The sequence below is a fragment of the Homo sapiens genome, chromosome 1 (genome assembly GCF_000001405.40).
Source record: "Homo sapiens chromosome 1, GRCh38.p14 Primary Assembly".
In the NCBI taxonomy this organism is placed as follows: Eukaryota; Metazoa; Chordata; class Mammalia; order Primates; family Hominidae; genus Homo; species Homo sapiens.
Genome location: NC_000001.11, coordinates 156,578,351 through 156,591,610, shown reverse-complemented (window position 1 = coordinate 156,591,610; position 13,260 = coordinate 156,578,351). Strand labels below are relative to the sequence as shown.

The 13,260-nt window shown below is 51.1% G+C and overlaps 1 protein-coding gene across 9 annotated transcripts, besides 5 other annotated features; it reads right to left on the bottom strand.

Moving 5' to 3' along the window:
- Positions 3,892-11,888, bottom strand: TTC24 (tetratricopeptide repeat domain 24). 9 transcript variants are annotated; one of them, NM_001105669.4, is made up of 11 exons: positions 11,853-11,888; positions 9,541-10,250; positions 9,177-9,380; positions 8,441-8,569; positions 8,161-8,273; positions 7,716-7,814; positions 6,637-6,734; positions 6,380-6,486; positions 5,785-5,898; positions 5,566-5,662; positions 3,892-5,142 (listed from the first exon to the last, which is right to left on the bottom strand). In NM_001105669.4, the coding sequence occupies exons 2-11, from the start codon at positions 10,244-10,246 to the stop codon at positions 5,061-5,063; spliced, it is 1,749 nt and encodes a 582-aa protein (NP_001099139.2). In that variant the 5' UTR covers positions 10,247-10,250; positions 11,853-11,888; the 3' UTR covers positions 3,892-5,060. The 9 variants fall into 9 exon arrangements, with proteins under 9 accessions (NP_001099139.2, XP_011507555.2, XP_011507556.2 ...); XM_011509253.3 differs by lacking the exon at positions 11,853-11,888 and having other exon boundaries at positions 5,245-5,662; XM_011509254.3 differs by lacking the exon at positions 11,853-11,888 and having other exon boundaries at positions 5,245-5,662; positions 7,716-7,811.
- Positions 5,991-6,490: an enhancer, noted in NCBI's record as "H3K4me1 hESC enhancer chr1:156554913-156555412 (GRCh37/hg19 assembly coordinates)". NCBI's record gives its function as "activates a minimal SCP1, AML or CMV promoter by ChIP-STARR-seq in primed H9 embryonic stem cells {active_cell/tissue: H9 hESC(primed)}" and the evidence as "EXISTENCE:reporter gene assay evidence [ECO:0000049][PMID:30033119]".
- Positions 6,491-6,992: an enhancer, noted in NCBI's record as "H3K4me1 hESC enhancer chr1:156554411-156554912 (GRCh37/hg19 assembly coordinates)". NCBI's record gives its function as "activates a minimal SCP1, AML or CMV promoter by ChIP-STARR-seq in primed H9 embryonic stem cells {active_cell/tissue: H9 hESC(primed)}" and the evidence as "EXISTENCE:reporter gene assay evidence [ECO:0000049][PMID:30033119]".
- Positions 8,688-8,987: an enhancer, noted in NCBI's record as "active region_1873". NCBI's record gives its function as "activates an Ori minimal core promoter by ATAC-STARR-seq in GM12878 lymphoblastoid cells {active_cell/tissue: GM12878}" and the evidence as "EXISTENCE:reporter gene assay evidence [ECO:0000049][PMID:35858748]".
- Positions 9,598-9,647: an enhancer, noted in NCBI's record as "active region_1872". NCBI's record gives its function as "activates an Ori minimal core promoter by ATAC-STARR-seq in GM12878 lymphoblastoid cells {active_cell/tissue: GM12878}" and the evidence as "EXISTENCE:reporter gene assay evidence [ECO:0000049][PMID:35858748]".
- Positions 9,658-9,757: an enhancer, noted in NCBI's record as "active region_1871". NCBI's record gives its function as "activates an Ori minimal core promoter by ATAC-STARR-seq in GM12878 lymphoblastoid cells {active_cell/tissue: GM12878}" and the evidence as "EXISTENCE:reporter gene assay evidence [ECO:0000049][PMID:35858748]".
- Positions 11,889-13,260: the final 1,372 nt, after the last annotated feature.

Genomic DNA, 13,260 nt, shown 5'->3' with positions numbered 1-13,260 from the left:
AGCTCTCCTCAGGAGCGTTTACAGATCGCCACACATTTCCAGATACGCCGAAATGCCTTGCTCCCAACGGCCCTTTGATAATAAGTGCTGATTTTGTAACTCTTTCAGAAAGGTGTATGGATGGCATAGCAGTTAGCCTTGATTCCTGCCCCACTGCTTAGTGGCTGAGTGAATGTGGGAACTGCTGGTGTCAGTTTTTCGCCTATACAACAGGGAAACGAGTACATACTTCCATAGGTGCTAATGCCTGCAAACCGTCGCAGAGGGCGTGGTATAGAAATTAAGCTACTGTTCTTATTTACACCACCAAGCCTATGTAACTTAGGCCCCCTCTACACTACATTAGCTTCCCCTACCTCTGTTTTACCAGGGTATCATGCTGTACTTCCCGAGTCATGCTTAACCCCTTTACTGAGATAATAGCTATGGAAATATAAAATTATCCTTAAATAGTTTGGGTAAGCTATGGTTTAAAACGTAATTGAAACCATAGGCTCCAGGTCACGATGATGTTTCACTAGAAGTCTTGAGAGGAGGAGTAGAGTTTAGGCTAGTGGTTTTGAGAATGCAAACACACTCTCTTGCGTGGTTAGGGGAAAAGGTTGGAGAGTAACAAACCAGTTACCATCAAGGCACTAAGATAAAGATAATTATCCAGACTGCTATGGATTCAATGTTTGTGTTCCCTTCCCTTCCTCCCTCACAAATTCATATGTTGAAGCCCTAACCCCCAGTGTAATGGTATTCGGAGACAGGGTGGTTGGGATTAGCATTAGTTGGGATATAAGAGGTAGTCCCTGAACTGGTAGAATTAGTGCCCTTATAAGACTTTCTTCCTCTCACTGCCCCTCCTCTCTGTCACCATACTGGAACCCTAATCTGACTTCCAGTCCCCATAACTGTCAGGAAATTAATTTGTTGCTTGAGCATCCAATCTATGATATTTTATTATGATAGCCCAAGCTAAGACACAGGTAAAGGGAAGGTTTTTTTTTGTTTTTTAGACAGGGTCTCGCTCTGTCACTCAGGCTGCAGTGCAGCCGCCTGATCATGGCTCACTGCAGCCTGGACCTCTGGGATCAAGTGATCCTCCAGCCTCAGCCTCCCCAGTAACTGGGACTACAGGCACGTGCCACCACACCCGACTAATTTTCATATTTTTTGTAGAAGCGAGGTCTTGGCAGGGCACAGTGGCTCACGCCTGTAATCCCAGCAGTTTGGGAGGCCAAGGTGAGTGGATCATTTGAGGTCAGGAGTTCAAGACCAGCCTGGCCAACATGGTGAAACACCACCTCTACTAAAAATACAAAAATTAGGGCTGGATGCACTGGCTCACACCTGTAATCCCAACACTTTGGGAGGCCAAGGCAGGTGGATCACCTGATGTCAGGAGTTCGAGACCAGCCTGGCCAACATGGTGAAACACCACCTCTACTAAAAATACAAAAATTAGGGCTGGATGCACTGGCTCACACCTGTAATCCCAACACTTTGGGAGGCCAAGGCAGGTGGATCACCTGATGTCAGGAGTTCGAGACCAGCCTGGCCAACATGGTGAAACCCCATCTCTACTAAAAATACAAAAAAAATTAGCAGGGCGTGGGTGGCGAGCGCCTGTAACCCCAGCTACTCAGGAGGCTGAGGCAGGAGAATCGCTTGAATCTGGGAAGAGGAGGTTGCAGTGTGCCAAGATCATGCCACTGCACTCCAGTCTGGGCGACAGAGCCAGACTCCATCCCCCCCCCCCAAAAAAAAAAGAAAAGAAAAAGAAAAACGGTAAGTATAAGAAGAGTGCTCTAACCTCCCCTTTTCTTCCTGAAAGCAGGAAACAAAACTCCCATGTGAACAATGAATGCCTTCCTCCAGGAGGAAAGAAACATTCTTATCACCAGAGACAGGGAGTCGAAGCTGAGAGAATTCTGTACAAACAGACCTTGTTAAAATATCTCTTATCTTCCTTTAGCCTCCCCATATATTTTATTTTTATTATTTTTTTGGAGATAGAGTCTCACTCGGTCACCCAGGCTGCAGTGCAGTGGCATGATCTCGGCTCACTGCAACCTCTGACTCCTGGGTTCGAGCGATTCTCCTGCCTCAGCTTCCCTAGTAGCTGGGACTACAGGCATACACCACCACACCTGGCTAATTTTTGTAGTTTTTGTAGAGATGGGGTCTCACCATGTTGCCCAGGTTGGTCTCAAACTCCTGGGCTCAACTGATCCACCCACCTTGGCCTCCCAAAGTGCTGGGATTACAGGTGTGAGCCCCTGCGACTGGCCTCCCCATATATTTTAGCTGCTTTTCCACAATTGGCTCTTTGTTCGACCTAGTACAAAACATTTAGGTTTTCCTTCTTTGGGTCTTCATTGCTTTATGAGGGCTCCTGTGTCACATAAAATTTATATTAAGTAAATCTGTATGCTTTTCTCTTGTTAATCTGTTTTATGTCAATTTAATTCTCTGTCCCAGCTAGAGACCCTAAGAGAGTGGAGGTAAAGTTTTGCCTTCCCTACTTTCTCTTATCTGACATGATCAGGAGTGGATTATTTTATTTCAACTTTAAAAAATACATTAATTTTCCATCTGTCAAAGTGTGGCCAGGGTCTTTTCTTTGAGGATGGAGCCTGTGATTAGATTCCTCATCTTCTTTCTTACATAAACCTCACCAGTTATGTATCACCCGCAATTTCCAGTTTGCTTCCTTAAAGTGAAACAGTTAATGGCATGTTTGAAGCAATCTTGAGTGCAGAATTTATATTTTTATTATTATTCCCCCAATTTGTAATAATCTTGTTGCTCACATCTAATTGCATAGCAGCTTTTATCTTTTCTTTTGAGGCAGAGTCTCACTCTGTTGCCTAGGCTGGAGTGCAGTGGCATGATCTTGGCTCACTGCAACCTCCACCTTCCAGTTTCAAGTGAATTATCCTGCCTCAGGCTCCCAAGTAGCTGAGATTACAGGCATGCACCACCATGCCCCACTGATTTTTTGTATTTTTAGTACAGACAGGGTTTCGCCATGTTGGCCAGGCCGGTCTCAAACTCCTGGCCTCAAGTGATCCATCCACCTTGGCCTCCCAAAGTGCTGGGATTACAGGCATAAGCTACTGTGCCCAGCCCACGGTAGCTTTTTAAAGTAACTCACAGAGGCCAGCCGCAGTGGCTCACACCTGTAACCCTAACACTTTGGAAGACCGAGGCAGGCGGATCACCTGAGGCCAGGAGTTTGAGACCAGCCTGGCCAACATGGCGAAACCCTATCTCTACTGAAAATACAAAAATTAGCCGGGCTTGGTGGCTTGCACCTGTAATCCCAGCTACTCGGGAGGCTGAGGTAGGAGAACCACTTGAACCCGGAAGGTGGAGGTTGCAGTGAGCCGAGATCACGCCATTGCACTCCAGCCTGGGAGACAGAGCGAGACTCCCTCTCAATAAATAAATAAACAAACAAACAAAAAAATAAAGTGACTCACAGGCTGGGTGCAGTGACTCACATCTGTAATCCTAACACTTTGGGACACCAAGGCGGGAAGATGGCTTGAGCCCAGGAGTTTGAGACCAGTCTGGGCAACATAGTGAGACCCTGTCTCTCTCTCTATATATTTTTTTTAATTAGCCTGGCATGGTGGTGCACCTGTACTCCTAGTGGGAGGCTGAGGTGGGAAGATCGCTTGAGCCCAGGGGGTTGAGGCTGCAGTAAGATGTGATCGTGCCACTGCACTCCAGCCTGAGCAACAGAGCAAGACCCTGTCTCAATAAATAAATAAACTCACTCTTTCCTCCATCACTGGAAGATAAAGCATAAGAATAATAAAGAAAAAGTAACTTACCTTAGTCGAGTCTTCTAAGGATCCAACTTAGTTTTTATAGAAACAGTGCTGCTTTTCCCACTCTCAGTTCATCAATTTATTTTTTTTTAAAGATAAATTTTCTTTTACATTGACATGGGGTCTCACTATGTTGCCCAGGGTGGTCTCAAACTCCTGGGCTCAAGCAATCCTCCCACCTTGGCCTCGCAAAGTGCTAGGATTACAAGGGTGAGCCATCTCACCTGGCCTGTTCATCAATGTGTATAGTATTTAATTACATTATGAATTACAATAACACATACAACGGGCATAGACACACTTGATATTAAATCACAATGGACTCTGGGTAAGCAAGGGCTTAGCTGGGGAAGTGGAACTGCACAGCATTCTAGAAAGTGCTCACTGCCTGGGTTTGATTCCCAGCTTCTCTACATACTAGTTATGTGACCTGGGAATTCAGATTACTGAAGCTTTGTGCCTTATTTTCCTCATTTGCGAAAGGGGATAATAGCACCTCATATATTTGTTGTGAGGATTAGAGGAGAATACACTTGTGAAGCACCTAGAATAGGGTGGGGCATGAGCTAAGCACCTAGAATAGGGTGGGGCATGAGCTAAGCACCTAGAATAGGGTGGGGCCTGAGCTAAGCACCTAGAATAGGGTGGGGCCTGAGCTAAGCACCTAGAATAGGGTGGGGCATGAGCTAAGTACTTGGGAAATGTTACATCACATCACTGTTCCTGTGGCTGCTGGCAGGAGCTGTCCTACAGGCTACAGGCCACAGCCTAGGCCTGCGCCCAGCATCCCCTGTGTTTCACAGAGAAGTAAGGTGCATTGGTTGGGTAAGATGCCTCTTCTGTAGTATTATATCCTCATTTCTCATGTGCAAAAATGGACGTCTGGAGACAGTCAGTGACTCCAAAGCTACTTGACCACGAAGTCAGTTTTTAGAACTGCCAGGCCCCTAGCAATCGTAAGATTTGGATTCAGAAAGACAGGGAATTTGCCATCCATTTTCCTTTTTTCTTTTACCTACTGAGTCCAAAAATCCCAAGGAGGAACAAACAGAACCTCTCAGGGCCGAGCCTGCAAAGCCCTTGGCCAGCCTCCTCAGGAGTCCACTGGCTGCACTGTGTTCCACATCCCTGCAGGGCTGAGCAACTGGGAAGAGGCTTGGTCCCCAGGACCCCCTAGTGTGTGCGTGTTGGACAGGTGCTTCAGGGATGAGGGCTGAGGCTGGCAGGGGGAGGTCACACAATAGTGCAGATGCCCGACTCCATGGGTCTCCTCTGGCGGCTCCTGCTGAGGCTTTCCCTGGGCCACCTGGATGACCTGAAAGAGGCAGGGAGGGGCTTGCCAGTGGGGGTGACTGGGGAGACAGCAGGAGGCAGCCTGCCTTGGCCTCAGCTTCCCTCTGCCCTATTTGGCCCTTACCTCTGCTGGTGGGCTCCAGAGAAGGAGGGAGTTGGCTTAAGCTTCATATCCCCCCATCCTGCAGCACCCTGTCTTTCACTGAGGCCTACCATCAGGCCATTTAGGAAGCAGGGCATACCCTGGGCTTCCAGAGCCGGGTGAGGGTTGTTCACATTGCTAAAGGGCAAAGACAAAGTGGGGCTCGGGGCCCTATATCCCAAGCATGAGATCCCAGCTTCCCCCAACTTCAACAGCAGTCGTGTTTCATTAAAATCATCCCAAGCCACACATTCTACTTTTTTTGCTATTCTCCAGGCCTCCTTCTTTCCCCCAAGGACCCACCTATTGGCTTGAGGGCCATTGGGTACCAAGATGCTAGGGTACTCCGCTCTGGGAGGGCCTGGACCTACAAATGGAAGATGGGCCCTGGGTCCTGGACCTAGATGGAGAAGGACAGACACATTCATCACGTGCCTCTCTGCACCAAGAACTATCATGGTGGAAAAAAGCTCTGAGAGAAGAACCACGAGTTGGGGCGGTGTCAGGGGATGCACTGCTCACTATAGATGGAGGCTTTGCCGAGGACTGTCCCTCTGCAGGGCGTGTGCTTGGTAAACGTGGGGCAACTAGAAGCTAGATGGTGCGAATGATTCACTGTGCCTGGAAGGAAACACACTGAAAAGGAGACATCGGTAAATTCAGGTCAGCTCAACAAGTAGCAAAGAACTCTGCTCCCTGAGTTGCAAGTCTTTGTGGGAGATGCTATTGAGTAGTGAGCTGGGGTTTACCAACAGCACCCAGCGCTGTGTTGGGCACAGAGTAGGCTTTCAGCAAAACCCTGGGGTCCAAGATGCAAAGTTCTAGAAGTTAGGAAAGCCATGAGAGCAGGAAGGAAGAGGGAGTTCTAGAAGGGTTCAGGGAAAATGGTCCAGGGCCTTGAGAGACAAGCAGAAATCATGGGAGGGCTGTTGGGGACTTGCGAACTGGGACAGCCAGGGTCAGGGGTGGCGCGAGGTTGTGCCAGGCCTCAAAGAAATGACAACAGGAAGGCGGGATGGTGGGATGGGCATAAGAAGCGGAGGCAGGCGGGTGGGGGTGGGAGTGCCATATTTGCAGTAAGGAGAGGCACCGCCAGGAATACTCTACATCAACTCACGCTCTGGTCTTCCCGGCCCAGCCCTCACCGGAACGTTTGCCGACCTCTCCTCTTTTTTCTTCTGGTGGCCCTCCTCAAACTCTTCATCTTCCCACCCACTGGAAGATCTGTAGGGGCAAGGAACCAGGGCACAGCTTGGCAGAGCGACACCAGTCCCCTCCTTCCTGGGGATACACATGGGGTCCTACCCCACTGCGACAGCCCCCAACACCCTGCAGAGGGCGCATGCATCTCTGCTGCACCATTCCCACCCTCACCTGTGCTGGACACCTGCTGTGCTGCTTCCTGCCTTTGCTGGGGTCCCCTCCGCCTGGCTGGCCCCACCTGGAGCCTGGAGTCTTCCCGGAGCCGAAGTCTGGGAATGAAGTGGAGTAAAGGGAATAGGTCTGAGAAAAACGGCCATCCCAGCTACGTGTGTGCTCCCTCCAGAGACTTATGTGATAGAGACAATTCGGGCTCTGCCGCTTGTCTCGGAGAATACAATTCTGGGGTGAGGCTCTTTGTTCTATTAAGGTCCCTGCTAGTAACTCTCAGGCTTGAATTCAGATTTAGGGACTAGCAGACCTGGCCAGCGCCTGATGACCACCCCATCCCTTCTGGGGCCTGATACCGTAAAGTCACAGAAAATAGGTGGCAGACATTGGCTGGGACCCAGGTATTCTGACCCCTCAATCCAATCCTCTGCCTGTACCAGGCTAATTTAATTTTGCTTGCAGATTTAAAATATGGTGTCTTTAAATATGGTCTTTAAAATGCAAGGGCATAAAACCTATTAAATACATATAAATATTAAAGTATCATTTCAATTCCTGGAGCGGGAAGAGGTTTTCTGGGGTTGTCTGAAAATGTGAAGGAGGAGGCGGTTGGAGAGCCAACGAATCGTACAGAGAGACCCGGAGGTAGAAACAGGTTAAAGCAGAGACTTGGAAGGAGGAACACGGTGGAGACCCACAGAGAAATGACCTCCAGAGACTTAAAGACGGGAGAGAGGGACTTCCTTGGAGCACATCTCCATCCTGTGGCCATTTAGGGAACTGCAGTCAAGGACTTGAAACTTTCTACCTCCTTGCACACATGGCCTACCGATTCTTTTAAATTTATTTCTTTATTTTTAATCACCTACATATCAGCCCTTGTGTTGGAGACGTGCCACAGTCCCCCACCCACCTCCCACCCTTGGAAAGTGATATATCTCATGCGCAGGCTCAAGGCGGATGAACACAGATGAGCGGCCAAGCGCGCAGCATCCCAGGGAACAGCGTCTCTGCTTACCACCAACCCCTTCTCTGGGTAACCTCTCTCCACCCCCATCTCCTTGTCTCAGGTGTCATCTCACCAGGGTGTGAGTCTGGACCAGCCCCACCTGGGCCAAGCGCGTCCTCACGGTGTCTGCCAGCTTGGCCACCAGCCGTTCTCGCACAGAATCTGGCTCCTTCTGGGAAGAGGGTGGATAATAGGGTAATGGGGAATGCCTGGACCTTATGGTCCTCTGGGGGTTGGGGAAGAAGGAAACAGGAAAGGGAGGGGGGAGGGGGGCTTTGTTTCCCCTCTCTTCTACCCCATCCCCATGCCTTTCCCAGGGTCCTGCCACCACCTGCCCAGAATTGTGGACAGCGATGAACTCTTCCTCACAATAGTATCCCAAGACCTAGCACACAGTGTGTCCAGTGCATGTTTGCTGATTGAGTGAGTGATGGGGAGAAGACAAGGAGTGAAGGCAGGAATGTCAGCCAGAAGAGGGATAGCAGGGGAGAGGTGGATTCCGGTGTGCGGGGTCTCACCTGACACTGGGCCAGTGCTTCCTTATAGTACTTCAAGGCCTGGTCATACTGCCCCAGCCTGGCTGCAGCAGCCCCCAGACCCTCACAGGCCTGCCACTGTCCCTTCATGTCCCCTGAGAGAAAGAGAGCCTGGAAGGTCCTTTCATGACTTCCTACCCCACTGATCCACCCCCTCAGAGGCACTCCCTACCCTCAGTTCCCCCCATCTGCCTCCCCGCCAGCCCCTAGGACCCTCAGCCTCCCCACTGTCCCAGTCACATCCCAACCCTCTCACGCTTACCAGAGTCCCGGGCAGCCTGCAGGGCATGCAGGTAGTTGTCTCTGGCAGCCTTGTGGTCCCCCAGCTGGCTCAATGCAAAGGCCAGGCTGCCAAAGCTCCGGCCCTGCTCCCACCGCTGCCCCACAGAGCCTGAGGACAGAGCCCACCCCATCCTCAGAGGGGACTCTGGCTGCTGGGACATCAGGACCCCACCCTCCAGCAACCAAGACAGACCTCCCAGGAGGCCTGGTGCCCAGCCCCAGAACACTCCAGATGCATCCGAGAGGCCTGAACCCTCCACACCCAGCCTGGCCCCATCCTGAGTTCTGGTGTGAGTGCCTCCACCTGGCTAGTTTGAGTCAGGCAACAACCCTGTGATGCAGGCAAGGCAGGTGTTAATGGCCCCGTTTTTAAAAATGTGGAAACTGAAGCTCGGAGAGTGAAAGTGGTTCCTCAATGTCACACAAACAATCAGCAGAGGGGCTGGACTCCGCTTCAGGCCTCCTCTCGCAGCCAGTACCCTTCCCCCTGCCCACTGCTGCCTTCCCAACCCTGAGGCCTCGGCCTCTGGGCCCACAACCCTCTGTCCTGTCTGGCTGTCCCATCTCCTGCACTTCCAGCTCTCCCCCACTGGTTCTGGATTTTCAGGCTCCATAAGTGGTCCCAAAGGGCCATCCACCCTTAAGCCTTGGGCCCCTTTTGGAACCCCTTCTTAGTGTCTTAGTCCCAGTCCCATTCCCCGGCCCCAGGCACCCACCGTGTAGGTCAGCAGCCTTCTGGTGAAACTCCCGAGCTTCCTGATAGTTGCCGAGGGCATTGTGGGCCATCCCGAGGTTTCTTAGCACTGTGGCCTGCTCTCCTGGCACCCAGCACAGGGGCAGGGCCTGCAGGAAGGCCTCCACGGCCAGCGGGAACAGCTGGAGCTGGGAGTAGCCCAGGCCTAGATCGTTATAGAGGTGCCCTAGAGGGAATAGCCAGGGTCACTGGTAGCCAGACCAGATATAAATGAGGCTGGTACAGCCCCTATCGACTCCTCCAGGGTTCCCCAAACCCAGCCCTCTGAGTATCATCAGGCTCTGTGTCTCCCCAGATCCCATGCCTTCCCTGCCCGAAGGTCTCACCCAGCAGTCGCCTCTCAGTGCTCCTCTCGGCAAGCCTCCGGCTTTTCTCCAGCACCTGCACAACTTCCCCCACCCGATGCCGCCCACTCTTCAGCATACATCCTGCCGCAGCCCCCAGTGCCAGGGCTGCGGCCCGCAGCTGTCTCTCTTGAGCATAGGCCTGGCTTGCTTCCTGCAGGCAGTGGGCTGCTAGCTCAGGCTGTCCCAGAGCCTGGTAGCAGGCTCCCATTTTTGCCCAGGCTTCTCCCTGGTCACCCTGTGGCTGGTAGTGGCCCAGGGCCCTGTGGTACCAGGCCAAAGCTTGAGGCAGCTCGCCGAGGGCATGGTAGGCCAAAGCCACATTGAAACATTGGTCGCCGTGTCGCCTGCCCTGTGCCTTCTCTTCAGGGTGGGCTCGCAGGAGTAGCTCAAGGCCTCTGGCTGGGTCCCCAGTCTCCACATAGGCAGCCCCCAGGTTGAAGGCGCAGGCCTGGAGCACAGGGGTATCCCTGGTTTGTGGGGCCTTGGAGGCCAGAAGGAAGGCCCTCTGGAAGTTGTTCAAGGCTTCATGGTTCTGGCCAGCCTGAAGGGCCCCATGGCCAGCCCTGGTGAGGGCTTGGATGCTGGCTTCTTGCCGCAGCCACTTTCTTTTCTTCTTTTTCTTATTGGAGCTTGAGGGCTCAGGTTCTGGCCTCCGGGGCACATCCTCAGGGTTGGGGGAAGACATAGGGCTGACAAAGGGGAACAGAGGGCTCAGTATGTCAGCCTTGGCTTCCTCTAGATAGCAGGACCCCCTTAGGGCAATTCAGCTCTACCCCTGCCCTAGCATGACCCTCAGGGTTTCAAGGATTGCTCTCTGATCTCTCACTTTGTTTCTTCTGTCCCATTGGGCACCATATCCACTCTCACTCTAACTTCCTGACTAATTCTTAGTCCTCCTTCAAGACTCAAGTCAAGTAACAGCTTACTTCAGAACGCACCTTCTTCTCAACCAACTGGGTACTCCTGTGGTCCCATAGCACTTGATGCCTATGTCTTTTATAGCATTTATCACACTGGGTCAGAGCTGATGACTTTATTGTCTTCCCCCCACTACTAGATTTGGAGCAACTTGCAGGGTCTGGCACACAGTAGATTCTCAATAAATGTTTATGAAAGGAGATGAAAAAGTTCTGGAGATGGATAGTGGTGTTAATTGCACAATAATGTGAGTGTACTTAATGCCACTGAACTGCACATTTTAAAATGGTTAAAATGGTAAATTGTATGTTATGTATATGTTACCACCATACGAGTGTTTTTGGATTGAACAAATAGGCCAGGTGCGATGGCTCACACCAGTAATCCCAGCATTTTGGGAGGCTGAGGTGGGCAGATCACGAGGTCAAGAGATAGAGACCAGCCTGGCCAACATGGTAAAACCCCGTCTCTACTAAAAATACAAAAATTAGCCGGGCGTGGTGGCGGGCGCCTGTAATCCCAGCTACTCGGGAGGCTGAGGCAGGAGAATTGCTTGAACCCGGGAGGTGGAGGTTGCAGTGAGCTGAGATCGCGCCATTGCACTCCAGCCTGGGTGACAGAGAAACTCTGTCTCAAAAAAAGCTGCAAATAAATAGATGAAGGAACCGCATATGCAGGGCCTCTCCTCCATAACTTCCTTCACACTGTGCCTCCACAGACACCCCCCTCACTCATCATCTAGGTACTCCTGCTATCTAATCTCAAGACGTAGTTCAGGTCAGTTCAACAAGCACTCAGTGAGCCCCTGCTATGTGCTAGGAACCACACTAGGCACTGGGGACCCTAGGGTGAGGAGGCTCCTGAATTGGCAAGGAGCGAACCTCCAGGAGAGAAGGATTTTCTGAAAAGGAGTGTGGTGTGGGACAGAACATGCATTTACTGCCCCTTCCCTAGCTCAAGGGGAAGCTCTCTCTCCATTTCTTCCGCTTTCTGTCTGCTGGCTGGTTCTAGGCCCCCAGCCTCCTGCTCTGGTCTCCAGAGCCCTCTTAAACCTGAATACAAGCATCTCAGCAGCTTGTATATCCTGTTTGTATTTTTCCCCTTGAAGGGCAAAAGCTTTTTATGAACTCTCCTCCCAGGAGATGGGAAAAAGAGTGGAAAAGACCCAGGCCCTGGGCTCTTGACCCCTCCCATTTTATCCTTTTTTTCCCCTTTTTTAGGAGGGGCAGGCAGAGGAAAAGCAGTCTCTTTTAAAAGAAATTCCCCCTGCTTCTAAGAACACCCAGAAATCCTGCCTTTTCAAGGCCTTCCACTCCAGGGCATTCCTGACCACCCCCATCCAGTGTGGGGATCCCCACTGCAGGACACCTTACCTCCTTGGGTCTTCTCCGCAGCTGGCTCTCTGGAATGGCCCCTCTGGCTTGGGTTACCTCCCAAGCTGTTAGCTCAAAGCCCTAGAGGTTACTAGACAACCAGGTACCACCCTCCAGTCGTAGGGAATTATTTGAGTGACAGCTCTGAAGCCGTATCTTAGTGCTAAACCTCGGTAGTGCTGCAGACACACCCCCTCAAGTCCCTCACTTCAAGAAATGAATCAAGGCATCAGAGGGGCGCTTACTAGTTACACCCTCAGAAATCATCTACTTCATCCCCTCATTTCACAGAGGAAGGGACCAAGCCTCAGACAGCAGATGTGACTTAACTAAGGTCACAGAGCAGTCACGTAGCTGGGGTTAGACTCTATGTTTTTTTTTGAGATGGAGTCTCACTCTATCACCCAGGCTGGAGTGCAGTGGCGCCATCTCGGCTCACTGCAACCGCTGCCTCCCGGGCTCAAGTGATCAAGTGATTCTCCTGCCTCAGCCTCCTGAGGAGCTGGGATTACAGGTGCACGCCACCACAACCAGCTCATTTTTGTATTTTTAGTAGAGAAGGGGTTTCACCATGTTGGCCAGGCTGGTCTCGAACTCCTGACCTCAAGTGATCTGGCTGCCTTGGCCTCCCAAAGTGCTAGGATTACAGGTGTGAGCCACTGCACCCCGTCTTTTTTTTTTTTTTTTTTTTTTGAGACGGAATCTTGCTGTGTTGCCTAGGCTGGAGTGCAGTGGTGCAATCTCAGCTCACTGCAACCTCTGCCTCCTGGGTTCAAGCCGTTCTCCTGCCTCAGCCTCCTGAGTAGCTGGGATTACAGGTGCCTGCCATCACACCTGGCTAATTTTTGTATTTTTGTATAGACTGGGTTTCCCCATGTTGGCCAGGCTGGTCTTGAACTCCTGACCTCAGGTGATCTGCCTGCCTCTGCCTCCCAAAGTGCTAGGATTACAGGCATGAGCCACCACGCCCAGCCAACTCTAGGTTTTTTGATTCAAGGTGAGTAGCCTAGGGTCCCTTCCACTACACTGTGTGATTGCAAGTTGTTTTTTTTGTTTGTGTGTTTGTTTTTGAGACAGAATCTTGCTCTGTCATCTAGGCTGAAGTGCCTAGATGATCACAGCTCACTGCAGCCTCTACCTCCTGGGCTCAAGCGATCTTCCCACCTCAGCCTCCCAAGTAGCTGGGACCACAGGCATGTGCCACCACACCTGGCTAATAATAATAATAATAATAATTATTATTATTATTATTATTATTATTATTATTATTATAGAGATGGGGTTTTGATATGTTGCCCAGGATGGTCTCAAACTCCTGAGCTCAAATGATTCTCCTGCCTTGGCTTCCCGAAGTGTTGGGATTACAGACTGCACCCGGCATGACCTGTGATAGCAAGCTTTAATGGGG

Excerpts from the sequence above, each read along its gene's own strand:
- TTC24 (XM_011509253.3), bottom strand. The coding sequence starts at position 10,246 with ATGTCTTCCCCCAACCCTGAGGATGTGCCCCGGAGGCCAGAACCTGAG. Across the intron at positions 8,570-9,176 it reads GAAGGCTGCTGACCTACACG|GCTCTGTGGGGCAGCGGTGG; the intron begins GTGGGTGCCTGG and ends CTCTGTCCTCAG. Across the intron at positions 5,899-6,379 it reads TGGGCCGGGAAGACCAGAGC|TGTGTTTCCTTCCAGGCACA; the intron begins GTGAGTTGATGT and ends TCTCCTTTTCAG.